The sequence below is a fragment of the Homo sapiens genome, chromosome 3 (genome assembly GCF_000001405.40).
Source record: "Homo sapiens chromosome 3, GRCh38.p14 Primary Assembly".
Classification (NCBI taxonomy): Eukaryota; Metazoa; Chordata; class Mammalia; order Primates; family Hominidae; genus Homo; species Homo sapiens.
In genome coordinates this window covers 197,659,392-197,686,237 of record NC_000003.12, presented here as the reverse complement: position 1 = coordinate 197,686,237, position 26,846 = coordinate 197,659,392, and the positions used below count along the sequence as shown (strand labels likewise).

At 50.9% G+C, this 26,846-nt stretch overlaps 1 protein-coding gene, 1 long non-coding RNA gene and 1 other non-coding gene across 11 annotated transcripts in view, besides 2 other annotated features; all 3 read left to right on the top strand.

Annotated features, from left to right (window-relative positions):
* Positions 1-17,371, top strand: part of RUBCN (rubicon autophagy regulator) — an 80,954-nt gene extending 63,583 nt beyond the window's left edge. For all 9 annotated transcript variants that reach the window (XM_006713831.5, NM_001145642.5, XM_047449268.1 and 6 more), the window contains 9 exons: positions 2,021-2,081; positions 2,799-2,931; positions 3,623-3,768; positions 4,339-4,403; positions 4,871-5,109; positions 8,697-8,758; positions 9,200-9,353; positions 10,723-10,816; positions 11,042-17,371. In XM_006713831.5, coding sequence (XP_006713894.1) covers positions 2,021-2,081; positions 2,799-2,931; positions 3,623-3,768; positions 4,339-4,403; positions 4,871-5,109; positions 8,697-8,758; positions 9,200-9,353; positions 10,723-10,816; positions 11,042-11,220 — 1,133 coding nt within the window. In that variant the 3' untranslated portion in view covers positions 11,221-17,371. The remainder of the gene's footprint in view (positions 1-2,020; positions 2,082-2,798; positions 2,932-3,622; positions 3,769-4,338; positions 4,404-4,870; positions 5,110-8,696; positions 8,759-9,199; positions 9,354-10,722; positions 10,817-11,041) is intronic.
* MIR922 (microRNA 922) lies at positions 11,662-11,742 on the top strand. Its single transcript, NR_030627.1, has one exon. It is a non-coding gene; the product is annotated as a microRNA 922 (primary transcript).
* Positions 18,517-25,701, top strand: LOC124906331 (uncharacterized). Its single transcript, XR_007096248.1, has 2 exons — positions 18,517-20,538; positions 21,456-25,701. It is a non-coding gene; the product is annotated as an uncharacterized LOC124906331 (long non-coding RNA).
* Positions 20,189-20,702: an enhancer, noted in NCBI's record as "H3K27ac-H3K4me1 hESC enhancer chr3:197392407-197392920 (GRCh37/hg19 assembly coordinates)". NCBI's record gives its function as "activates a minimal SCP1, AML or CMV promoter by ChIP-STARR-seq in naive H9 embryonic stem cells {active_cell/tissue: H9 hESC(naive)}" and the evidence as "EXISTENCE:reporter gene assay evidence [ECO:0000049][PMID:30033119]".
* Positions 22,245-22,758: an enhancer, noted in NCBI's record as "H3K4me1 hESC enhancer chr3:197390351-197390864 (GRCh37/hg19 assembly coordinates)". NCBI's record gives its function as "activates a minimal SCP1, AML or CMV promoter by ChIP-STARR-seq in naive H9 embryonic stem cells {active_cell/tissue: H9 hESC(naive)}" and the evidence as "EXISTENCE:reporter gene assay evidence [ECO:0000049][PMID:30033119]".
* Positions 25,702-26,846: the final 1,145 nt, after the last annotated feature.

Sequence of the window (26,846 nt, the reverse complement as noted above, 5' to 3'; positions counted from 1 at the left end):
GTGAGGATACAGAACTGCTAAATAGTTTTATGAAGGCAATGGTTTCCTTAGAAACCATGAATTACCACCTGTCTGTTCTTTCTGGCATGTAGTATTTTCTTTAATAGCCTGGCACGAAAATAAGAAAATTGGTTAGCTCCTTATTCAGGGATAGCTAAGATTTTTTTTTTTCTTTTGTGTTACTCCCAAACAGGATGGAATTTGAAATAGCTGTTAATTGCTTTTAGCCAATTAATCATTTATTCAGAAAATGTTTTCTGAAAACCTTTATGTACAAAGCACTCTGAGGGCTCCTAGCTCAAGGCAAGACTTAGGTACAGCCCAAGGCAGTGTAAGTGTTACCCAAATAAATGTTGCAAACCAAACAGTCTGTGAAAGTCTGGCCTACTGTTGCCTCTACTGTTTTTCTTTTCTCTACCAGCACTAACTAGCCAGAAATAAGACAGCTAGCAGTGCACTGGGATCTGGGTTTTGTGGCACAGATTCCGCCAGAAAACATGATATACTTGAACATCTTTGTTGTGAAATAGGCTATGCTAATTACGAGCAAAAATGTGTCGATGTCTTGTCCTGTGCTCAGAGAACATAGGAAAACCAACAGATTTGACTTCTGTTACCTTACTCATACATGTAGCTTTGAAGACATTAGTTTGTCAACAATGTTATTTGAGTATATGTTTGTATATGAGCCCTGTGTTAAGTATTTTAGAGCCAAGGGAAGAATAAGACACAATCTTATTTCTTGTTAGGGTGATTTTATAATCTAGTTGTCCAGACAAAAATCTGCATACAGAGGAAACGTGAGGAACAGTAGAGCTGCTCACAGCCCAGTGCACAGAGATGCCATACAAGATTGGTGTCCTTCTGAGTGCTCATGGTAGATTGGTCATTGTGTCGGCTTCATTAGGAAAGAAAGGTCTTTTCACTGGGCAGTGAAGGACATGAGAGAGAGTATTTATCAGAACAGTCTTGTTTTCATGACCTGGATAGGCTGTGTCTGCCTGGCTTGAACATAACTGCTGTATTTCACATCCCCCCCATCAAAAGTATTTGGGTAGATGAGGTCTCTGAGGTCTCTGGAGGTTCAGCATATCATTATTAGAAATCGTCTTCTAAATCCTTTGTCAGAAATAGGCTATGGAAAGTCTGCCACAGTTTCCTGTATAGCTAGCCTCAGAGGTCATGTTGACCATCTTTGTCAAAACGTGTTGGTAACCAGGCATCTCCAGAGAGCTGCAAAGCTGTAGAGAAGTTCCTTTTCCTCCATGAAGCTTTTCTAAGGATATAGAAGACTTCTAACATTCAGGGGTAAAATGGCAACAGTGATGACATGTTAGAGGCAAAACTGCAGACACTTCTAACATTCGGGGTAATGGCAACAGTGGTGAAATATTAGAAGCAAAGTTCCAATTTCACATATATTTCATGAGAACCTCTATGATCCCAGTTATGTGTTAGGCACTAAATGTTTTTTATATATGTATATATATACGTGTGTGTATATATATACACACACATATATGTGTGTGCGTATATATGTATATATATGTGTATATATGTGTGTGTGTATATATATATGTATATATATATAAGCCAGACAGAGTTACTGCCTAAGGGAGCTTACCATTTGAGAAAGGTTAAGATGTGGAGAGTGAGGGAGAGATTTGAGTCCTTTGTTTTGTGTTTGTGCATATGAGGGGTTGTGTCCCTGTGTGCCTTAGGATGCTCGTCTTCTCATTCACTGTTTTACACCAAAGCTGAGTTTGTCTTTCTGCCTGAGTTTGTAACACTTTGACCTTTTCAGTGCTATGCATAATGTTACTAATTCAGCCTGGTTTTGATTTGGATAGAGGCAAATTATAACCTGTGTTTAGAGCTTCACCTGCTCCTTTCTCCTGCATAGAGTGTGGCACCTGGCTGTTACCCTGAGAGCTTAGCTGGGAGCACCTTGTAATAGATTCCAGGTTCCCTTACCCACCCCGTTTCCATTGCGCTCCCCTTATCTCTGGTTTCCATGTAGATGCTGACATCAGAAGGAACACAGCCTCAAGCAGCAAATCCTTCGTTTCCTCCCAGTCCTTGTGAGTACTTTTTTTTACCAAAAAAAAGAAAAGAAAACCTTAGGATATGTAGAGAAACAAACCCAGTTCTTGGTGTATGGCTGGGCAAAGCCATCCAGATGTAAGAGGAGGCGAGGTTAAAGGGAGGGGCTTGCTGATGGTGCCGAGCCCACGGGAAGAAAGCAGAAGCTCTTTGGTCCCAGTGGGATGGGCTCTCGTGGAGGCAAAGCTGGAAGTGAGTTATTCCTTCTCTGCTGACTCTCATCATAACCAGAGGCCCCAGAAGGTCTCAAAAGAGAGCAGTGATGATGGTTTTTGGTTATGAAATCAAATTGAACAGATTCCACATCATAGACCCAACCAGGGGACACAGTAGCTCATTTGGGAGGAAAAATCGCTTTGTAGTCCACAAAGCAATTTTACTCACTTTGTTTTGTAAGCAGGCATTATAATCTCCATTTTGCTGTTAGAGGAGCTGAAGTTCAGAGAAAGGAAGTGACAGAGTCCTTCATTAGCAGTGCCGTGCAGTGGCAGGAAGTGGGGCTTGAACCGAAGTCTTAGGACCGTGAGACTAGTGGACTTTGACTGTCCCATGTGTGAGGGTGATGAGCAGGCCAGGGTGCTGCGGGTGTTCTTCCAGCCCAGAAGTTGCTGCGTGGGGGATGAGATCATGAAGGGAAGCCTCGCATCGCCCATCCTTTCCCTGTGTTCAGCCGTCCTTGATTCTCCCCTTTCCAGCTCCCACTGCTTCCTGCACTCCACGTCTGCTGAGGCGGTGGCCATGGGGCTCCTGAAGCAGTTTGAGGGGATGCAGCTTCCAGCCGCCTCGGAGCTGGAGTGGCTTGTCCCGGAGCATGATGCCCCTCAGAAGGTAGGTCCTTAGCTCTTCTTCCTACCCAGGGGCCATCGTGAGCCTCTGTGACCTTGTTTTCCTTCGTCACATGTCCCTAGTCTGGAATGAGCCTGGGTGTTCCCCCCTTACTCGTGGAAGCCATTCATTACAATGTGTCAAGTGATAAATGAACGAGTGAATGCTTGCTCACCTTGTCAGAGCAGAGATGACGGCGCGTTCGCGGTCCTTATTCACGTGACTGCTCGCCAGACTCAGTCATGTTTGGTTTGTGACCACCTCGGAGACACTACGCAAAAGTAAATCGCTTGGATTCTTTGCTCTGCAGTTGTCTTTAAGGCATGAAACACACTGGCACAGCAAGGGTCCTGGGATGGGTGCAGGGACAGCATGAGCCGTGGGGCCACTGCCCTGGTAGGCTGTTTCTGTTTGCTTCTTGGAACCCACGGCCCTCACTTGTAGTACCTTGGCGCCTCCTGGTTGTTTCTGAGGTTCCCTGAAGCCCTTATCCTGTGGTGTTCCTGAAATGTCTTTCACTCATTATGCTCTGTCATGGCCAAAAGGGTCCCGCATTTCTGTTTCTCAAGCCCGTCCGTGTGAACTTACCCCAACTGTGTTTTTCTCCTGCCCATCCCTGACTCACTGCCCATCTCACCAGATGACGGGCAGCACACTGACACGAGCTTACCCCAACTGTGCTTTCCTCCTGCAGCTCCTGCCCATTCCTGACTCACTGCCCATCTCACCGGATGACGGGCAGCACGCTGACATCTACAAGCTGCGGATTCGTGTTCGTGGCAACTTGGAGTGGGCCCCGCCCCGGCCTCAGATAATTTTTAATGTTCATCCAGCCCCAACGTGAGTGGCCAGTGTCTGTGCCCTTTGGAGCACAGATCCGTCCTCTTTGGATTGTCAGGGTTTTCGTCTCACCCACTTGTCCCTGCCTCCAGCTGTCCTTCCCACACCGTTCTCTTCATTTAAAGGCAGAGGGGGGGCGTCGTCCATTTGGTCCTTCGTTTCTTACTCTTAATTCCTGGAGCTAATTGGAAACGAGGCGGGTTTTGTTTTGCTGGCATTCCCAACCTGTAGCTTTCCTCCCAGTAGTTGTGTGGGCTTGCTGGTTTTTCTTCTCTTTCTAAGATAGATGGATGCTCTTCTCTCCTGTCATTCTCTCTCCTTTACCACATCTCATTCCTTATATTTGTACAGAATGTGTGGTTCCTTACTGGGCAGAGTGACTGCCTAGACCTAAATCTTATATGGAGTTAGCTCTCCCAATAGGTTCATTTTTGTCCAACTAAAATGTAGGTGAATTCCCCTCTCTTCCCATACTTAACTGGAGCTGTATGTATGTGTGCTCACTCCTTCACACCTCCAAGGTCTCACGCAGCTGCTCTGTGCCAATGCCCTGTCCTTACCCTTCCTCAGGAGGAAAATTGCCGTGGCCAAGCAGAATTACCGCTGTGCAGGATGTGGCATCCGGACTGACCCTGGTGAGTGCCTTCCCTTCCCACCATGCTGCCTCCAGAGGCTCTGTACCCTCCCCGACACGTAGGGAGAGGTGGCGTGTCAAAGGCGGTAGCAGGAGGTGGCGTGGCAGAAGTAGGGAAGGAGAAAGAAAGGTTCGTAGTAGGCAAGAGTGCTGGCAATCGGAGGGAAATGATTTCTGGGAGCACATGGCCAGGATTGTATCCTGTGGAAAGTTGGGTAGTTCCAGCTAGCTGGTAAGGCGGGATCTTACTATCTCCAGCTGGTTTTATTTCCTCAGGGCCTCCAAGGTAGGACATTATCACCCCAGGATCCACTATGTGGATTTCTGCAAGCTTTGGGGAACTCAGACAGAGGTTGCTGGAGGCCATTGGCTGTCCCTCTCTGCCCTTTCAAGGGAAAAGCAGAGCTGCCTTCCCAGCTTGTAGATGGGAAAGTTACATCTGGCTTTCTGGCTTTCCGGTTTTTCCAGATTACATCAAGCGACTGCGGTACTGTGAGTACCTGGGCAAGTACTTCTGCCAGTGCTGCCACGAGAATGCCCAGATGGCCATCCCCAGCCGGGTTCTGCGCAAGTGGGACTTCAGCAAGTACTACGTCAGCAACTTCTCCAAGGACCTGCTCATTAAGATCTGGAATGATCCTCTCTTCAACGTGCAGGACATAAACAGTGCCCTCTATAGGAAGGTCAAGCTGCTCAATCAAGTCCGGGTAAGACCTTGGAAAAGGCCACCTTAGAGTCTTGCCCTTCTCCTCCCCTCATCCCCTCCCCTCGTCCCTCCCCCGTCCCCTCCCCCCATCCCCTCCTCTTGTCCCCTCCCCCCATCCCCTCCCCTCGTCTCCTCTCCTTGTCCCCTCCCCTGGTTATATAGGGCTTCCCACAATTACCACACTTCTTGTTATCGCAGTGTCAAAGCTATAACCGTCTCTCCGTTCATGCCCTCACTATGTACTTTCTTAATCTCTTCCCATTTCCCAGGTTATCTGTCTAGTTGGAGCCTCAAACGTGGCAATGGCAGCTAGGAAGCTGTAGATAGCACTTGAGGGCAAAAGCAGAATTTCTTCCTTCACTAAAAACATTAGTGAATGAATGAGGAATCGGGTATCGAGTAAGAAATTGGAATTTCGGAGCACTCCTCTGCCCAGACTGCTTATGTGACTCGGGCAGACAGACCTGGCGGAGGGGCCTTCCCTGACTAGAGGGCACTCTGAAGCCAGTTGTCAGAGTGAGTTAGAGCAAGTTAGAGCATAGGACAGTCTGAAGCCAGTTGTCAGTTAGAGCGTAAGACAGTCTGAAGCCAGTTGTCAGTTAGAGCGTAGGACAGTCTGAAGCCACTTGTCGAGTTAGAGCGTAGGACAGTCTGGAGCCAGTTGTCAGTTAGAGCGTAGGACAGTCTGAAGCCACTTGTCGAGTTAGAGCGTAGGACAGTCTGAAGCCAGTTGTCAGTTAGAGCACAGGACAGTCTGGAGCCAGTTGTCAGTTAGAGCGTAGGACAGTCTGGAGCCAGTTGTCAGAGCGTAGGACAGTCTGGAGCCAGTTGTCAGAGCGTAGGACAGTCTGAAGCCAGTTGTCAGAGCACAGGACAGTCTGAAGCCAGTTGTCAGTTAGAGCACAGGACAGTCTGGAGCCAGTTGTCAGTTAGAGCGTAGGACAGTCTGGAGCCAGTTGTCAGAGCGTAGGACAGTCTGGAGCCAGTTGTCAGAGCGTAGGACAGTCTGAAGCCAGTTGTCAGAGCACAGGACAGTCTGAAGCCAGTTGTCAGTTAGAGCGTAGGACAGTCTGAAGCCAGTTGTCAGAGCGTAGGACAGTCTGAAGCCAGTTGTCAGAGCACAGGACAATCTGAAGCCAGTTGTCAGTTAGAGCGTAGGACAGTCTGGAGCCAGTTGTCAGAGCGTAGGACAGTCTGGAGCCAGTTGTCAGAGCGTAGGACAGTCTGAAGCCAGTTGTCAGAGCACAGGACAGTCTGGAGCCAGTTGTCAGAGCGTAGGACAGTCTGGAGCCAGTTGTCAGAGCGTAGGACAGTCTGGAGCCAGTTGTCAGTTAGAGCGTAGGACAGTCTGAAGCCAGTTGTCAGAGCGTAGGACAGTCTGGAGCCAGTTGTCAGAGCGTAGGACAGTCTGGAGCCAGTTGTCAGTTAGAGCATAGGACAGTCTGGAGCCAGTTGTCAGAGCGTAGGACAGTCTGAAGCCAGTTGTCAGTTAGAGCGTAGGACAGTCTGAAGCCAGTTGTCAGAGCGTAGGACAGTCTGGAGCCAGTGGTCAGAGCATAGGACAGTCTGGAGCCAGTTGTCAGAGCGTAGGACAGTCTGGAGCCAGTTGTCAGTTAGAGCGTAGGACAGTCTGGAGCCAGTTGTCAGAGCGTAGGACAGTCTGGAGCCAGTTGTCAGAGCGTAGGACAGTCTGAAGCCAGTTGTCAGTTAGAGCGTAGGACAGTCTGAAGCCAGTTGACAAGTTAGAGCGTAGGACAGTCTAAAGCCAGTTGTCAGTCAGAGCGTAGGACAGGCTGAAGCCAGTTGTCAGTCAGAGCGTAGGACAGTCTGAAGCCAGTTGTCAGAGCATAGGACAGTCTGGAGCCAGTTGTCAGAGCGTAGGACAGTCTGAAGCCACTTGTCGAGTTAGAGCGTAGGACAGTCTGAAGCCAGTTGTCAGAGCGTAGGACAGTCTGAAGCCACTTGTCGAGTTAGAGCATAGGACAGTCTGAAGCCAGTTGTCAGAGCATAGGACAGTCTGAAGCCAGTTGTCAGTTAGAGCACAGGACAGTCTGAAGCCAGTTGTCAGAGCGTAGGACAGTCTGGAGCCAGTTGTCAGAGCGTAGGACAGTCTGAAGCCAGTTGACGAGTTAGAGCGTAGGACAGTCTGAAGCCAGTTGTCAGTTAGAGCATACGACAGTCTGGAGCCAGTTGTCAGAGCGTAGGACAGTCTGAAGCCAGTTGTTAGAGCGTAGGACAGTCTGGAGCCAGTTGTCAGTTAGAGCGTAGGACAGTCTGAAGCCAGTTGTCAGTTAGAGCGTACGACAGTCTGGAGCCAGTTGTCAGAGCGTAGGACAGTCTGAAGCCAGTTGTTAGAGCGTAGGACAGTCTGGAGCCAGTTGTCAGTTAGAGCGTAGGACAGTCTGAAGCCAGTTGTCAGTTAGAGCATACGACAGTCTGGAGCCAGTTGTCAGAGCGTAGGACAATCTGAAGCCAGTTGTCAGTTAGAGCGTAGGACAGTCTGGAGCCAGTTGTCAGAGCGTAGGACAGTCTGGAGCCAGTTGTCAGAGTGTAGGACAGTCTGAAGCCAGTTGTCAGTCAGAGCGTAGGACAGTCTGAAGCCAGTTGTTAGAGCGTAGGACAGTCTGGAGCCAGTTGTCAGTTAGAGCGTAGGACAGTCTGAAGCCAGTTGTCAGTTAGAGCATAGGACAGTCTGAAGCCAGTTGACGAGTTAGAGCGTAGGACAGTCTGAAGCCAGTTGTCAGAGTGTAGGACAGTCTGAAGCCAGTTGTTAGAGCATAGGACAGTCTGAAGCCAGTTGTCGAGTTAGAGCATAGGACAGTCTGAAGCCAGTTGTCAGAGCATAGGACAGTCTGGAGCCAGTTGTCAGTCAGAGTGTGGGACAGTCTGAAGCCAGGTATCGAGTTAGAGCATACAACAGTCTGAAGCCAGTTGTCGAGTTAGAGCGTGGGACAGTCTGAAGCCAGCTGTCAGAGTGTGGGACAGTCTGAAGCCAGGTGTCGAGTTAGAGCGTAGGACAGTCTGAAGCCAGTTGTCAGTCAGAGTGTGGGACAGTCAGAAGCCAGGTGTCGAGTTAGAGCATAGGACAGTCTGGAACCAGTTGTCGAGTTAGAGCGTGGGACAGTCTGAAGCCAGCTGTCAGTCAGAGTGTGGGACAGTCTGAAGCCAGGTGTCGAGTTAGAGCGTAGGACAGTCTGAAGCCAGTTGTCAGTCAGAGTGTGGGACAGTCTGAAGCCAGGTGTCGAGTTAGAGCATAGGACAGTCTGGAACCAGTTGTCGAGTTAGAGCGTGGGACAGTCTGAAGCCAGCTGTCAGTCAGAGTGTGGGACAGTCTGAAGCCAGGTGTCGAGTTAGAGCGTAGGACAGTCTGAAGCCAGTTGTCAGTCAGAGTGTGGGACAATCTGAAGCCAGGTGTCGAGTCAGAGCATAGGACAGTCTGGAGCCAGTTGTCAGAGCGTAGGACAGTCTGCTCTGGGTGCAGCATGCAAGGCTTCTAGAACCCCAGGGTTTAAAGGCCCTGGGCTTCCCACACTGGATTCCTCTTCTCACATCTCCCTCCCACTCCTGCCCCCCTCTCTTTCTTTTCAGCTGCTGCGGGTCCAGCTGTGTCACATGAAGAACATGTTCAAGACTTGCCGACTGGCCAAGGAGTAAGTCCTTTTGGAGCTAGAGCCCTCTGGCCACGTTGCTGTCTCCGAAAGGGACACATCCCCGCGCTTGGCTCTTGTTATGTAACGAAGGAGAGTAGAGAGATTTTGCAGAACTGTAAAGTGGTAAACAGGAGGCCACAGCAGTAACTGTATCTGTGTCCTTCTCTCTGGAAGGGGATCTGTGGTCATTCCATCCAGGACAGGCCACCTCTCTTCCCAGGCTGGGTCTCACATGGGCCACTCTGCAGGAGCCTATAAATCAGTCACTCCTGCCATCCAGACACCTAATAGCGTGGAACGGCTGCGGCGGCCTGGAACCTTGGGCTGGCTGATGGGTGCCCACCCTCATTACTTTCTGCAGTTTCTGGATAGGGATCCTTCTACTACGATGTGGCACATGCACTGTTCATTCCCTCACCTGCCTCCTGTCACTCCCTGTAGGCTTCTGGATTCCTTTGACACAGTCCCAGGCCACCTGACAGAGGACCTCCACCTGTACTCACTGAATGACCTGACTGCGACCAGGAAGGGGGAGCTGGGGCCCCGGCTTGCTGAGCTCACCAGGGCAGGGGCTACCCATGTGGAGAGATGCATGGTGAGAAAGTCTCACTGTAGCATGCAGCTGAGCCCTTGCTTTTAGGGATACAGGGAGGGGGGTGGACCTGGGGTTCTTGCCACTTAGCTTGAGGAAGTTGAAATGGCCAGTCAGCACTGGGAGAGGAACTGGAAAGGGCTGCTGTTCCTTAGCCTGGAGAGCAGCCAAATCATCCTGATCTAAAGAACCTCGAGTGAGGGGAGGAGCTGGTGCTGGCTGTGGTCCTGGGTAGCTCCGGGCAAGACCGAGTAGACTTTCACTCAAGAAGTGTTGGCCAGGCACGGTGGCTTAGGCCTCTCATCCCAGCAATTTGGGAGGCCGAGGTGGGCGGGTCACCTGAGGTCAGGAGTTCAAGACCAGCCTGACGAACATGATGAAACCCCATCTCTACTAAAATACAGAAATTAGCCGGGCATGATGGCGGGTGCCTGTAATCCCAGCTACTCGGGAGGCTGAGGCAGGAGAATTGCTTGAATCCAGGAGGCGGAGGTTGCAGTGAGCCGAGATCATGCCACTGCACTCCAGCCTGAGCGACAAGAGTGGAAAAAAAAAAGGCAGTTGTCATGATGTGAGAGGAGAGCTCTGGATTGGAATCGAGAGGGAGTCTACCCTCGGCCGTCATTTGTTGTTCTCAGTCATTATGACCAAAATAAATACTTTGTCCCCTCTGAGGCCTCGATTTTCTTGGCTCTAAGATGAAGAGAATAATTTACTTTCTTCTCAGTATTTTTGAGGGTTGATGGGGTAATTTGTATGACAGCGTTTTGTATACTTTATGTATTCCTCAAACGCACGTCGTTATTGTCGTCATCTACTCAACATGTTGAAAATGCAGAAATTACACTTTTAGAACTTCCTGTCTTAGCCTATGCCCAGTTTATGTTCCTGTGACCGTCCCATAATTCGAGCTGGGCACAGGTAGGAAACCCTGTGTGTCTGGGAGGAACTGGAAATCCTTCACTACAACCTGACTCCAGGCTTGGAGCTGTGTTTGAGGAACAGCCTCGTCTCCACATTTTATCTTAATTGCTTGTGGTTCCTATTCTGAAATAAAATCATGACCCAGATGGGACTGTCGGCTTAGGAAGCCCTTTGTGGTGCCATTTCCTCCTTCTCCTCTCTTCATGGAGAGCCGCGCTGGGGGTCGGAGCTTCTCCGGCTGGTGCCTGTCTGATCTTCTGCCTAAAGCTTTGTCTAACGCTGCCCGGCCCTGGTCCTAGTTTAGCTTTCATGCTTCTGAGTCCAGCCCAGGCCTCCTCCCTGTGGGCAGCAGAACCCTGTAGACCACTCCCCTCCTCGGTGTTCACCCTCCCGTGCCAGTTCCTGATGTGCCGCTCCTCATTTTGCCATCTGTGTTTTTCCTCCCCAGCTCTGCCAAGCCAAAGGCTTCATCTGTGAGTTCTGTCAGAATGAGGATGACATCATCTTTCCCTTTGAGCTCCATAAGTGCCGGACCTGTGAAGGTGAGGGCAGGTGCAGGCATCGGGCAAGTGAGCCTGAACACAGGGCTCCTTGATTCCCCAGAGCCACCCCTGTTAGCAAGAGTTCGGTGCCACTCAGCACCTCGCGGGGCCTCCCCAGGGGACACCACGCCTTGGTGGCGAGAAGGGGCTGTGGCAGCAACTGACCTCTAGCTGGAGATAATACAAATTGTTTTCTTCTCTCCCCCACCTTCCCAACCTGAGTAGAGTGTAAAGCGTGTTACCATAAAGCCTGCTTCAAGTCTGGAAGCTGTCCGCGCTGCGAGCGGCTGCAGGCCCGGCGGGAGGCACTGGCCAGGCAGAGCCTGGAGTCTTACCTGTCAGACTACGAGGAGGAGCCCGCGGAAGCGCTGGCCCTGGAAGCCGCCGTCCTGGAGGCCACCTGAAGAAAGCACGTGCAGCCCTCCCTCCGGGCCGGGTCACACCTGTTGCAGAACTGAGCCACTCTTTGAAGGACTCGCCCCACCTGGGGCTTCTTTTTTTTTTTTTTTTTTTAATTATCATCATCTTTTTTTTTTTTTTTACTGACTTGTCTGACGTCTGTGTGCAGTCAGCCGTCGGCAGGTTGATGGGTCCAGAGTCTGTGGTGACAGATAATTTGTAAACACCAGGTGTTTCCATCAGAACTGACATGCGGGTCCTTCAGTGAAGCTTCTAGTGCCTCTGTCAGTGGAAGAGACAGCAAGACCAAGTTCTTCCAGCGTCTGTGGCCTTCTCCTCTAGGTTTCACCTGCATGTCAGGTATCATTTCCAATTTTCCTTTGTTTCAGTTCTGGAGCTTCTGAGCCAGGCCTTTCTCAACCACCTCTCCTGCTGCTGAAACGGGGATGGCGTTTTCCCTCTCCCTGTCCTGGACTGGGGTCAGACTGTGCCCCGAGGAGAAGCAGCAGAGAATAGGACTACGTCATGGGCATTTCGTCCACTTATTTGGGTATTTTGGGGGCCACAGAACAATCCTGACTATCCTAGACTCCTCAGAGACCTCAGAGGCAGCTGTGAATGTCCCTATGTTGCCGGGAGTTCCTGTTTGAAATATTTGAAGCATAGAGGATGCCACAAGCTGACTTTCTTCATCTACCTTGGTGATCTTGAAGCAAAGAACAGAACTGATGCTCAGGCCAGGCTCACCTGTAGCCTTACGCCGCAAGCATACGTGAGGCGCCAGCTCTGTCGCTGAAGGAGCGCTTACTCAGAGGAGCGGTCGGCCCCCTCTTGGTGTTAAGGTCTCTTAGTTAACCTGGCTTTTTGGTGCAGGTGTGATCTTTGAAGCTCAGGCAGGTCCCTGATGCCATCCTAAGGTGAGGACAGGAACCTCACCCACCATCTTCTTAGCGTGTCCCTGATGACTCTGTCCTCTGTTAGATGGTCGTTGTGCTTCTGAGTAAAAGTACAACCCGACTCCGTTCTCTCCCCTTCCTGCAGCAGAGCTGGGTCCTTCCCTGGTGGCCGAGTCTCTCTTGCCTTAGCTTCTTTGGTCAAAGTTGGAGAAAAGCTTCCTGCTATTAGTGCTGTTACAGAACTTGACGGTTTGTGGATGTGAGTGTGAATGTCCCTGTGTTCTTGGGATAACAAGAGCCTTTATGCCAATTATGCACTTAACTCTGTGTAGCCTGGTAATGTTTATCTGTTCATTTGATAATGCTGATTTTAGTGTGCTGCCCCCCTCCCCCCGTTAATGTGTGTTGATGGTGAAGTCCTTTTGATAATGCTGATTTTGGTGTGCTGCCTCCCCCTTCCCCCCCGTTAATGTGTGTGTTGACAGTGAAGTCCTTGGGTGGGGCCATGTGTGTGTTTGTGATGTTCCTTAAGTTGATGCAGCTTCTAACCTCTGTGAAAACACTGGTCAGAGTGGCTTCTCCAAGAGCTGGCAGCTCTGTGAACTAAAGCCTGCATCATTTTTGTTCTGGGATTGAATTCTGCCCATGGGCATGTCTTCTCATAGTTGCTTGCTGGTAGGAAAGAAATGGGCGTGGGTGCTGCCCTGGAAGCTGAGCGGAAAGTTGCCTGTGGTTGGTGGAAGCTGATGAGAGCTTGAGCTGGCGGTAAGAAGGAGTCTCCCAGGGAAGTGGGAGAGGCATTAAGGTGATGGCCAGGGCTGAGGCTCCACCAGCGTGAGAGGGAACATGTGGGAACTGGCCCCTGCCCTTGATTCCTCTGCCTCAAAGTTGGGATCTGAAAGCCATGTAGGGCTAGAAGACCCTGAGGCTGTTCTCCCTTCTGTTCATAGTGAGACTCAAAAAGCCAAGTCCCAGAAGTTCTGAAGGGCTGTGACTAGAAGTGCCCAGGTCCTTCAGGGAGCTTTAAGAATGACCCCACAGAACTCAAGTTTAACTAGGGGTTAGGTCCCAGATTCAGACCCAGGAGTTTATAAAAATGAGCTCTACTTCCAGTTTTGGTTTAAATTACACATCCAGGCCAGGCACAGTGGCTCACACCTGTAATCCCAGCACTTTGGGAGGCCAGTGCGGGCGGATCATGAGGTCAGGAGTTTGAGACCAGCCTGGCCAATGTGGTGAAACCCTGTCTCTTCCAAAAATACAAAAATTAGCTGGGCGTGGTGGCACACGCCTGTAATCCCAGCTACTTGGGAGGCTGAGGCAGGAGAATCGCTTGAACCTGGGAGGCAGAGGTTGCAGTGAGCCGAGATTGCGCCACCGCACTCCAGCCTGGGTGACAGAGTGAGACTCCGTCTCAAAAAACAAAAAGGTGACACATCCAGCTCTTTCTCCAGGTCACTGCGCTGGAGGACAGATGTGCCGTCTTGTCCTGCCTGTTTCACATCAGCATAGGATCAAAGGATGACAATGCTGACAGCTTCTGAAGCCGAACTCAACAGTCTCATAGGCTCCTCACTTGTCACTTATTTTTCCCTAGCTCCCTCAACCGCACCCCATCCCTTTAGATCGTGCGTCTGTTTTAGTGACTCTGACACGATGCCGTCCTCACCTTCCAAATACCCAGTTATTTATTCAAGAGGGGGGAAGTGGGTAGAGGATGGGATGTTTTGGAAGCACTTTGCAAGTTACCACTATCTGAAAATCCCCTGCTGTTGCGGGGAGAAGCTTTGAATGCACTGAAGAGAATTCCTTCTAAATGAAGGCAGGTGATAGTGTTCTTTCTGTAAGTAAAGGGAAAGAAAAAAAACATAGTTTGCTTACCAGGTGGAGACAAGATTCAAGACATAGCAGAAGAGTGGAAGACAAATATTTTCCACTTAAATGAGGCTGTTTTTGACGTTCTCTGCCAAGGATTTAGAGCTTTCGTTGAACTAACATAAAAGGAGTGCGAGTCTTAGTAGAGATGTTCCGTGTGTGCCGCCCGTGCTCTGAACTGCGTTTCCACCTGCTGTGGTGCTTGTGCAGCCTGGCAGTTCATTGTCATCTTTAATAAACTAAGGAAATAAAATTCTGTCTTTCGTCAGCCTGCCTTGACTGTCAAGAAATGGCATGTGTCCACTGTAAAGCAGGTATATCTGAACATTGAGAAGGTTTCTGTGTTATAATGTAAAGCAAACTGGACCACACACATCAAGGAAAGTGAGGTGGAGTGGCTGTGTCTCTAACTTGCCATGAGACCTCGAGCGAACCACTTCACTTCTCTGGGTTTCTGGTGCATGGTGTAACTGTCACTTAAAATGAGGTGTCTTCCTCTCCGCAACATCTGACTTGCCTTAGATGCTTCAGTTCCCACTTCTGTGAGCAGCTAGCATCTTTCTCTTCTGCTCCTGGCCCACTGGAGCTCCAGCTCTACGCTGCAACTCTCTCAACATTTCCCCTTAAATGTCCCCTTGTCATCTCCAACCAGTGTGTCTAAAACCAGCATAAATTCCGTATTTCCAAAAACCTAACCATTAGTCACCCAGGTTTGAAAATTAATTGTCTTCAACTTCCTCTGTAAGTGGCACACTGAGCTCATCACGCATCGTCTCATTCCTACTCCCTGTCATCAAGTTCTGTGGATGTTTTCCTCTAAAATAAATCTCTCATTACTTTTCTGCCACTAGCACACAAATTCAGGTGTTCTTGATCATACATTATTTTCCTCCCTGCGCCTCAGTGGAACAATGATTAGAAGCACCTTGTGGGATGAGGAGCCGGGCGCGGTGGCTCACGAGTGTCATCCAGTACTTTGAGAGACCAAGGCAGGGGGATCACCTGAGGTCAGGAATTCAAGACCAGCCTGGCTAACATCACAAAACCTCATCTCTACAAAAATATAAAAATTAGCCAGGCATGGTGGCATGTGCTTGTAATCCCAGCTACTCGGGAGGCTGAATCATGAGAATCACTTGAACCTGGAAGGCGAGGGCTGCAGTGAGCCAAGCTTGCTCCATTGCACTCCATCCTGGATGAAGAGCGAGACCCTGTCTCAAAAAAACAAAACAAAACAAAAAAAGCACCAGCACACTGTGGCATGAGGGGCGGGATTGTGACCACCTCTACCTCCCCTCTTAGTGCTCACCAAGTCTCTGCAGTAGTGAGCGTGTCCTCATCTCCTGTCTTCTCCCTCAGCTACTTTGTCTGCAACTGCTCCTGTTGTGTTTGTCCAGCAGTCATCATCAGAGGACACACATCCCAAATGTCCTTCAGTCACTTTATTATTAAACTGCCAGCTCTTTCCTTGCCAGGGACTAAACCAGGAGATAAGATGATATTTATATGCTGTAAACACACCCTACATATTTAAAAATCTTCATATTTACAAATTAAACTGAGAGGAGAATGAAAAAGCCATGTGAAAGACTGCTGAAGTTGATAAAATGTTCAAATGTTTTTCAACTAGAGATAGGAAAATAGCTTACAGTACAAAACCTTCACTTTGTTCTAAGGCCCTTTTGTTCATTGTTACAAACTGGTGTAGTTCACAGGAAGCCAAAGCTTGATTTCCAGTAAGTTCCCAAACTTCTGTTCTCAACATTTAACTTAGATTTTAGATGATCATATTCCAAAATTGGAAAGACTGTTGAAGAGGAAAACAAGGACCATTGATTCACAATGGCAGCCCAGCATTTATTTATTCATTCAATCATCCGTCAATCCCAAACATCTATAGATGCCTCCGTGTTCCAGACACCATGCCAGAGCTGAGAGTACAAAGAATCACAGAATATTGTTTAAAGATGTTTACTGCAGCATAATTTATGAAAGTAAAAAGTTAATGGAAAATAAAAAAATTGATGCAACCATCAAAATGACAGTTATAAAAATTATGATAGTGAGCCGCACACAGTGGCTCACGCCTGTAATCCCAGCACTTTGGGAGGCCGAGGCGGGCGGATCACGAGGTCAAGAGATTGGGACCATCCTGGCCAACATGGTGAAACCTTGTCTCTACTAAAAATACAAAAGCTAGTTGGGCATGATGGCGGGCGCCTGTAATCCCAGCTACTCGCGAGGTTGAGACAGGAGAATTGCTTGAACCCGGGTGGCGGAGGTTGCAGTGAGCCGAGATCACGCCACTGCACTCCACCCTGGGCAACAGAGTGGGACTCTGTCTCAAACAAAAAAATAAATTATGATAGTAACATGGGGAAAAAGTCTTGTAATACAATGTTATGTGAGAAGAAGTTAGAAAAAGTGTATGTCAAATATATATTTATTAGTCCATACATACATAAATAAATGACCAAATAAATAAATTCTCACAGAAGAATTCTAAACAAAATACGTAAATTCTCCCAGGAGGTGGAGTTTAATTCCTTCTCCCATTGAGGGTGGACTGGAATTAGTGATTCACTTTTTTAAATAAAAGGATATAGAAAGAGGAAAATAGCAACTTTAGAGTAGAGAGAGCTAACACGACCTTAACCAAGTAATCAACGTTAACATCTCCAAAGATGTCATTGGATGTCATGTACCTACTAATACAATGAAAGGGGTACATCTTCCCTGACATTCATTCAGAAACCCATAACCTCAGTCTAATCATGAGAAAAACAACAAACAACATAAACACAGGAGCAAAATTCGAGGAACTTTCTACAAAACACTTGACCCTACTCAAAATTGCCAAGGTCTCGAAAACAAGGAAAGAGATGCCGTCACGGACGAGAGGAGACTAAGCAGATACGATGACTGAATGCCATGTGGGATCCCGGGTGGGATCCCGAAATGGAGAAAGGATATTAGTGAAAAAACTGGCAAAATCTGAATACAATTTGGAGTTTAGTTAAAAGTAACATACCAATGTTGGTTCCTTAGTTTTGGGAAATGTCCAGTACTACAGTAATGTAAGATGGTAACATTAGGGAGAGCTGAAATCGGGTGAGGGCTATGTGACGAATTTGTACTATCTTTGCAACTTTACTGTGGATCTAAAATTATTCCAGATTAAGAAGTTTACCTATATAAAAAGCATATGTACATCATAATTACAGTTATGCAAAAATATGGTTAGAAAAAATACATAAGGAAAACATACGTAAAAATTAGTGTGGTTCTGTTAGAATGGTGGCATTGTGGAGTATTTTTTCCTCTTATCTGCTTACTGAATTAGCTGTAAATGAGTCATTTTCCATAAATTAAAGAGTTAATTTTAGAGATTCTTTTCCTTGAAATACAGAGGGAATGTACAAAAGTATATCTGTATTGAAGGGTAGTCAAGATAAAGGCTGCTTTAAAATACCCCTGAGACATCCTTCTGCACAAGATAAGCTGGCCTGTGTTGACCCAGAAAATACCCCTTGCTCCTCCCTTTCTGATCCCCTCAGCCTCACCCCAGTTCTGCTGCAAATGGGTGCCTCTGTCAGCCCCAATGCCCTGACAGCACACAGGGAGAAGGCACCTAAGAATTTCTATAAAACCTGAAAATCCAGGCTTCGCGACCTTGGTTTTCGTCCCTGATTTGTAGGGTTCTCAGCATTACCTTAGTCCTGGAGGAACTGTGGCTTCCAAGGTAGGCTCATACTCATCAGGGTCTCCGGGAAGGCTGGGGCAGGAGTAAGAGTAGGAGGCAGAGGGCTCATAGGACTCAGGAAAAGCCTTCTTGAAGGTCAGGTTTTAGAGTGGAAGGTTCAGCCAATGGCCACCTGAACACTTTTGCAGAAGGTTCCCAGACTATTCCAAACACTACAAACAGCACTAATGGACTGGCCTGGAGCTCCCGCCATAAGCACCTGTAAGCAGAGTCACTCCTTCAGTAGCATGTACTGGCCATGGCCACCCTTCTTCAAACCCAAGTACAAGTAAAGTCTTACAACCGAAAAGGCAGAGGTGACCAGCCAAACAAATATTTACCTAGCCTGCATTCTTTCCACAATGTGCCCAGTCAACTCACGAGTCTCAGAGAACAGAGTAAGCCCTCTCTTTACTCCTTAGATAGCATTTTTCCCCAGAAACACTTTATCAGAAACTTTTTTTTTTTGAAACGCAGTCTTGCTCTGTCACCCAGGCTGGAGTACAGTGGAGCAATCTTGGCTCACTGCAGCCTCCGCCTCCTGGGTTCAAGTGATTCTCGTGCCTCACCTTCCTGAGTAGCTGGGACCCCAGGTGCACGCCATCACACCCGGCTAATTTTTGTATTTTTAGTGGAGATGGGATTTCACCATGTTGGCCAGGATGGTCTTGAACTCCTGACCTCAGGTGATGGAGATGGGATTTCACCATGTTGGCCAGGATGGTCTTGAACTCCTGACCTCAGGTGATCTGCCCACCTCAGCCTCCCAAAGTGCTGGGATTACAGGTGTGAGCCGCTTGTCTGGCCAACAATTGTTTTGTTAAAACCTATCACCAAGGGTTGGGCATATGGATCAAGCTGGATTGTCTGAATTCATTCCCTAGAATTTGGACCTTGAGGAAATAAGACAATGAGTGAAAAGATGGGCTGGCACTTGCTTGTTCCAGCATGGTGATGAGACTGCCACTCCCGCCTCCTGGACCCTGGGTGTGTGGCCTGGCCTGGGGAAGGTGCTTGGGGGTGTTGAGGCCTGGCCTGGCCTGGGGAAGGTGCTTGGGGGTGTTGAGGCCTGGCCTGGCCTGGGGAAGGTGCTTGCACAGGGTGACATCATTTCAGGGAGTAGTTGCCTCTGTCCCTGGCCAGTCTCCAGTCTCCAGCTTCATATCCTCCCGCTGGAGAGCAGAGACGATGGGGGTGTCCCTGTGTATGCTTAAGTGCAATGGCATTTTAAGAAAACTATTAGCAATTTTATGAAACTAAATTGCTGCTGTTTTATTAGCAGCCACAGTCAGCAAGGCCCTGGCTGGGTGCTTGCTCCGTGAAGCTGTATACGTGTGACTGCCTCAGCAGTGCTGGCTGCTCCTGCTCTCGAATCTAAAAAGCAGCTGGACAAAATGTTCACGTTTTCGCTCAAAACCAAACAAACAGAAAAACTCAATTAGCTTGTTTGTGTGGGCTGAAGCACCTCTGTTTGCCCGCCCCCCGCAGTGACCCCCATAGTGTCCCCGGAATGGACGGACTCACGGGCTGTCACATCGCGCACATCTTCCCCGGAGAAGGGATGTGAATCTTGGTGGGGTGGGGGGCACTACCTGGCCCAGCACAGGGTGCAGGTGGGTGACCCGGGAGACTCTCCCCGCTCCAGACCTGTCATCATGTTGCCATCTGAGGCGGCACTCACAGGTTTGCGGGGCTGCACATCTTTGGGGGCCTCCACTCAGCCTGGCACAGTGTGTGCCCAGCAAGTAGACGACCGCATCCTCGCCAGCACACATGTGCTAGAAACTTCTGTCAGGAAACGCCGCTCTTCACAGCCAAGGGTGGAAACTACTGGATGCATTGCAGAGCTGACGCCCTCCCTCCGGCCTGGCTCCGAGCCATGCCTGGTGTGGTGGAGGGGTGGAGGCCACCCTCACCGGGCCCTGTGTGCTGCTCTGATGCCGCTGAGGGGGCCGGGGCCTGGGTGTGCCCTCAGCGCGTCCACTGCAGAGGGGAGCCTGCGCCCACGTTTTGGCTCTGTGGGTAAAGGTGGCCACCCCCTGAGCTTGTAGGGGTGTGGGACACTTCCCGATGCTGCCTGCCATGATTTTACATGAAAAGCCGGGAAAAGGCACTGAGGAGCCACCTGACCCCACGGAATGCCATTTCCTGGTGTCGCTTGGCCAGAAGTCATTGACACAGCCCTGCCAGCCGGAAGCTGGGGCAGGGACGGGGTCCTGCCTTCTGGGACAGGTTCTGTGTGTGCGCGACCATGTCCCAGAGGTCTCTGCTCAGCCCTGGGGGCCGGTGGGGGTGGGGTTGGAGGGTGGATGGTGGGGGTGGGGCCAAGTTAGCCCGAGCGGTCTGTGAGGTGAGAAGGGCCGGGGTCTCTCCTCCTCTCCTCCGCACCCCACCCCGCCTTGCTCTGAATCTCTCCCTCTCTCTGTCTCTGTTGGTCTCTTTCCCTCTCTACTCCCCATTCTGGTGTCTTTGGAGCCCTGGGTAAGGTGTGTGCTGAGTCCGGTCTGGTTTGGGGTAGATGTTCTTTGATCTGTTACCACACCTGGAGGGAAAGCCCCTGGCCCGCCCCCCCTCCGTTCCTGCAGAGCCAGGCCCCCCAACCAGTCGGTGGGCAGGATGCCCACCAGTTGCCCCCATCTGGCCCAGGGGGACCTTTCCTCTGCTCTCCAGGGACCACTGCAGGTGGTGTGGCCCCTGAGGGGAGCATAAGGGTGCAGTGCCTGACTCAGGGGACACAGAAGCCCCGTCCATACGGCCTTTTACACAGCACAGCACCCAGCCCTCGGCAGCCCAGAGCAGGAACCAACAGGGTAGGTGCCCAGGGGCCCCAAAGGTCAGAGTTCCTCGCACAGCTGCCAGGGAGCACAGGGACCGCAGCACAGGGTCTTCTGCTCAGCACCGGGACCCCGCTCGCTGCAGCTAAAGAAACAGATACGTCCAAGGGCTCCACGGCCGGGGCCGGGCACCTGGAACAGGGTGGTCCTGGGGCGGCCACATCCACTCCTTCCAGGTGAGTTCCCGGTGACTCTCGGCCTGCAGTCGGCCTTGCTGAATTCTCTTAGGCCACCTGGCTGCCCCCTGCTACGCGTCCAGCTGTTGATCGCCCACTGACCTGTAGAAGACCTGGTCAGCCCCTCTGTCTTCCGTCACCCATGGAGGCGCCTGCAGGTGCTCCGCGCAGCCCGCCCGGCCCTGCACAGACCCGAGGCGGCACCAGGGGGCGCTGCCGGCCCGAGGACGCGGGCGCGGGGCGGAGGCTGCGGGGCAGGAGCCGCTGTGCGCGTTCAGGCAGCTGCCCGGGACCCCTGGCACCGACCGCAGCCCCCAGAGGCCCCCGGGGGGTTTCCGCCTGAGCCTAAACCGAAGACAGGGCCTGTTTTCAGTCATCCCGACCCCACAGACTCTGCCCGTTAGTTCCCGCGCTGCCCGGCGCCCTAGTACCCAGAGCCGGTGGGGACTCCAGGCCACCAAAGGCAGGGGCGGGGCGGGCGGTTGAAGGAAGATTGGGACACGGAGAAGAGGGACAAGGCCTGGGGCCCGAGGGGTCAGGACGCTCTGCCAGCCTCACCACCCGCCACACCCAGGCACGGACGCACGCACACACTCCACACGTGTGAACACGCACGCATGGCTGCACACACGTGCACAGAGAGGCACAGCCCGCAGGAACACAGATGCACGCACACAGGCACAGGCACGCTCCCTCACTCACTCTCACACACCCCAGGTGCAGACACCCCCACCCAGAGGTTGCAGCTCGGATGGAGAAACAGGCTGGGTCACAAAAGCCCCGGGAGGCAGCCCCTGCTGTCTGGCGTCTTCTCTGGGGAAAGCTTTCCGGAGCCTGATGGAGGAAGACAGAGGAAAGAGACCTGTGTTCCCTGATGCACTGGCCAGCTGCTTCCCGGGGAGGAGGAGGCAGAAATATACAGTAACTGATTGTTGCCTTTGGTCTGTGAACTGTACTATGGAACACTGGAACTTACTCCTTCACCTGACTGCATGTTTGTGCCCCATAACCAGCCTCACTTTCTGTCTGCCTCTCACCCACACACCCTGCCTAGCCTCTGGGAACCACCAGCCAACTCTCTGCCTCTGTAAGAGCCACTCTTTCAGTGCCCACAAATGAGTGAGAACATGGTACATTTGTCTTTCTACCCCGGCTTACTTCCCTTAACATGACAGCCTTCAATTCCATCCATGTTGTTGCAAACGACATGATTTCATTCTTGTTTATGGCTGCGGAGTATTCCATTGCGTAAGATACCACGTGTTCTGTATCCATTCATCCATTGATAGGCACCCAGGTTGATTCCATTTGGCTTTTGAAAGTGTGTAGTTGGAGAATCCAATGTGCCCCCTCGGGTTTTCAAAATGTGGGCATCTTGAGTGCGGGAAAGGAAGTGCCTGCCGCTCCCCAGGGCACCCGGTGGCATCTGCAGAGGGGAGGCAGCCACAGCAGGCCTGCCGTGGTGACAGCAAATAGCCAGGCGGCCAGGGAGGCTCCTGCGGTGACAGCCCCGGGTCACAGGGTCAGAAGCAGCCCACCGGGGCCGGGGTGGCTTGCGTCAGTTTGGGAACATTTTAAGCCATTACCACTTTAAATACTGATTTTGCCTATTCTTTCTCTCCTTCCCAGAACTCCAGTTACTCACGTGTGGTGTCTTCTCATTGTGTCTGCTGTCTCTTCCCATCTCACTGGGGCAGTAGGGCTGCCATAAGCCAGCACCACAGACCAGGGGCTCCACAACCCTGGTGGCTGCAAGTTCAAGATCAACACAGGGACAGGGTTAGTCTAGTGAGGCCTCTCTTCCTGGCTTGTGGAGGGCCACCTGCTCCCTGTGTGCACAAGGCCTTTTCTCTGTGCACACGCATGTGCACGCGCACACACGTGCACACACACGCACACACGTGCACACACACGTGCACACACACGCACACATGCACACACACGCACACACATGCACACACACGTGCACACACACGCACACATGCACACACACGCACGCAATCTGGTGTCTCTTCCTCTTCTCATAAGGACTCCAGTCCTATCGGATCAGGGCCCCACCCTGCTGGCTGCACTTCACCTTAATTACCTCCCTAATGTCTTCTCTCCAGACAGACTCTCCTTGGTGGGTGGGGCTTTGTGAGGGTTTGAATGTCCGTGTTCCCCGAAATTCATCTGTTGAAATCCTCACCCCCAAGGCGATGGTGTTAGGAGATGGGGCCTGTGGTAGGGACGGGGTCCTGAAGGTGGACCGCTGATCATGGGATCGGTGTCCTCATAAAAGAGGCCCCAGAGCGCCCCTCCCCCATCCCCCATGTGAGGACGCAGTGACACACCAGGGAAGCCGGTCCTCACCACACACGGAATCTGCCGGTACCTTGATCTGAGACTCCCCAGTCTTCAAAGCTGTGAGAAATGCATTGTTGTTTCTGAGCCCCCAGTCTATGGCATTTTGTTATGGCAGCCAGAACTAAGCCAGGCTTCCGCATGGGCATTCTGGGAGGACGCGGTTCAGTCCCTCACACTTGCTCTCTCTATTTTCCTCCTTATGCTTCTGTCCTTCATTCTGAGAATCTTCTTCTGACCTACTTTCTAGTTATTCATTATTGTTCAGTGATATCTAAACTATTTTTAAACCCACTTATTGAGTTCTGAAATGTTGCTTGTATTTTTCCCAGGCAATCATCTTTGTATTGCATTTACAAATAGGCATAGAAATAGAGACTGCAATAAGAAAATAGAGAACGCAATGAGAAAAGTTGGAGTTCTAAAAAGAAAGTGGAGGGAGAATAGGAAGAATACAATCAGCAAAGAAAAAAAACCCAAATCTTTCCTTTTTGTGTAATTTTTATTTCTCCACTGAAGTTCTTGACCTTCTCTTTTTCTTCTCATGGACAATGTCTCCAGCGCTCTCTGCAGCCGGCGTCTGAGGGTGCTGCGTCTGCATTCTCATGTAGATGTTTTCATTTGCTGGGTTTCTCACCGCTTATACTCACATTGCCATCTCTCCATGTGTGCCTGGCTCTTTCTTTCTTTGCCTGACATTCTGTTTGCAGTGTTTTGGAAGGAGAATCTGAGGCCAGAATGATGGCTCCTCCAGAGAGGGTGAGCTTGAGTGCCAGCAGCTTGGAGGGGCAGGGCGGTGGCTCTGGTGTCCTGTGGTTTGCGTGGGCTCTCTCTGCACTTACACTCACAAAAAGTATCTCAGGCAGGAATTCTCGCAGGGTGCAGGCTTCTCTTTTGACAGTTTAATGTCACGCGTGGGTTCCTTTGTAAACATCAGATCAATAGCGGAGTTCCAGATTAAAACATTAGGATAAGAAGCCCATGTTGACTCATCCGTCCCTGGAATGGCCTAGAAGACGGGGCACTTGGTGTTCGGGGATGCGTCTGTCTCAGGCCGGCCTCCATGGGTCAGGCAGCCTAGGGTGGGAGGAGGAGGGCGGCGGGCAGCCCCACAGCCGAGATTCAGGAGAAAGGAAGAGCCACTCACTTTCTCTTCTTCACAAAGTCCTGGGAACGCAGGGAGGGGAGACGGGGTCTCGCTCTCAAAGGCAGCTCTGTAGCCAAACTGCTGCCTCCAGGCAGGAAGAGAATCCCCGCTCAGAAGAAAGGTGGGCCACCCCTGATGACGGCAGGTGGCCCCAAGTGTTTGGATGCGGTGGGCCCCACTGGTTTGGGCCTAACCTCAAGTGGCTGCTAATGGTTCCATGATACTCTTCCAGCTAACACTTCACAGAGATGTCTGACTGATGTCCACTGCTCAGCTGCACCCCTGAGCTGGTGAGCATTCAGGTAGAGCACCCACCTCTACTTTTCTCACCCCGAAAATCAGAGACTGGTTCTCAGCTGGTGCAGCCACCGCCCCAGCGTACCGGATGCAGGACTTTCCCTGCGAACACTGGACAGTCCCAGCAAAGCAGACGGTGGGTCGCTCTGTATCTCTGAAGAACAGCTGGGCCTGCGTGTGTCATTCTCAGGCATCTGGCCCAGGGCTTCTCCTCCAGGAAGGTGGCTGCTCAGCTCCGGGCACTGCCAGGGGCCACGGACCCCGCCTCCTTTCCAGGCTGTTCCACAGCATCTGCCTTCATACTCACAGCCACCGCGGCGTGCGTCCCAGGGATTCTCAGAATAGAATTCTGTGCCTCTCTCGCCTCTGGAAGTGACCGCGCTCTGTAGGAAAATATCACAGCACGCCGGCCTCGAAAGGCCACGACGTGGCTCTAAACTGCTCTAAGTATGTCAGTTACTTAGAACAATCAGAAAGGGGCAGAACAAGCTGGGGTGTGGAGTCAGGGGTCAGGGCACAGACAGCACCTCTTGTCTTGCAGAGAGAATGCTAGCAATTTGCAAGTTACTTGAAAAGGTTTGTGATTTTCCAACGCCCTGAGTAATTCTAGCCAAAATGCGTGACTCGCCTCACACTAGATGCTTGCTGTAATTGTGTCTCTGTATTAAACTGACCGTTCTTTGGAGCTTCAGAATGGACCAGGAGGAAAAGGTAAATACCAACCTCGCTACAACCTCAGAGGCATCAACGCCCTCCTGCTACAGACGCATCTGTTCTCGCCTGGCTCCTGCCGGCTGCCCTGGGAGAGGCCACAAAATGCCCTCCACGGAGACAAGGCCTGAGAACCTTCGGGACGCCCGCTGCCGCTCACTGTGTTGAAGAACTGCCCGTTCCGCACCCCGGGCCCTAGACACACGGCTCTGTGGAGGACGAGGAAGTGCCGTCAGGTGAGACTTCACCGTGAAATATCTTCTGAGACACAACAATCTCCCTGAATTAAAACTACAGACTCTAATTTATAAAAACTGTGTGTTTCAAAAGCTCCAAGTGTTTACATTCTCCGATTCATCATTCCTTCTTCTAATTTATTTTAGGAAATAATGCAAAGTACTCACAAAAATTTATATAGAAAGATGTTCATTGCAGAATTCATTATAATAAAAACCTTTAAATGCTCTGAGTGCCCAGCGTCAGCATGGTGATAACATACATACGAGGGAATATTGTGCAGCTGCAGTTAGTTCTTATTACATTTCACAGGCATCTTAAATGCTTTGTGAACACCGGTGCATAGATTTTTTTGTTTGGTATAGATGGCAATGATTAGATGGGTGAAATAATTTAAAAAATGGACATATAATTTTAAAAATATTGAGTGACAGAAAAAAATGAAAAAATGTTAAAGAACTTTTTGGTTATGATATTATCACTAAAAGGCCGTGTCTCCTTGCTCCCTTCTTTGGGGACGGTTCTGGCCTTGCCTGGCCCGTGGGTGGGAATTGTGGTGCTCCAAGTGCCTTCAGCTGCTGCTGGGGTCCCAGGAGCCCAGCCTAGGTGTTCTTCCGTCCTCACCACCCCATGGCCTCCATGGAGCCCCACGGCAGCCTCAGGAAGGAGGGCAGTATCGTCAGAACACAGTCCTCATGGACCCCCCAAGAGACCCTTGGGCAGAATGCCCCATCCCACCCAGGTCCAGCTTCACTCAGCACGTAAACAGGAACACGGCTGCAGGCAGGCTCCACGCACCCCGTCCCCAGGGAAGCCGCAGCCCCCGTCCCACGTATCCCGGGCAGGCATCTGTAACTGAGGGCTGCATGGTCGGGTGAGCAGCGAGGCACATGCTGGCTGGGCGGGGAGGGGCGGCCCTGAGTGGTCGTCTTGCTCAGTGCTGGAGGGGCTCTGAGCCGAAGGTCTGAGGGTCCTGGAGCTGCCATGGCAGATCCCCACAGTCTGGGCAGCTCAAAACAACAGGGACTCATTCTCTCCCCGCTCAGCAGGGAGGGGTCTGAAATCGAGTCCATGGGCCGTGCTCCCTCCAGAGGCTCCAGGGGAGGACCCTGCCACCTCCACCAGCTTCTGTGGCTCCAGGCGTCCCTGGGCCGCGGCCACAATGCTGCACCTCTGCCTCGGTCTCCAGGAGGCCTCCTCCTCTGTCTGCGTCTAACCTCCCTCTGCCTCTGTGTAAGGACACTTGCCGTGCATGTAGGGCCAACGAGTTAATCCAGAATGACCTCCTTATCTCAAGATCTTTAACTTAAACACAGCCACAAAGACCTGCCTCCTATTTGAAGAGAGGTTCTCTGCACAGTTCCAGGGTCAGG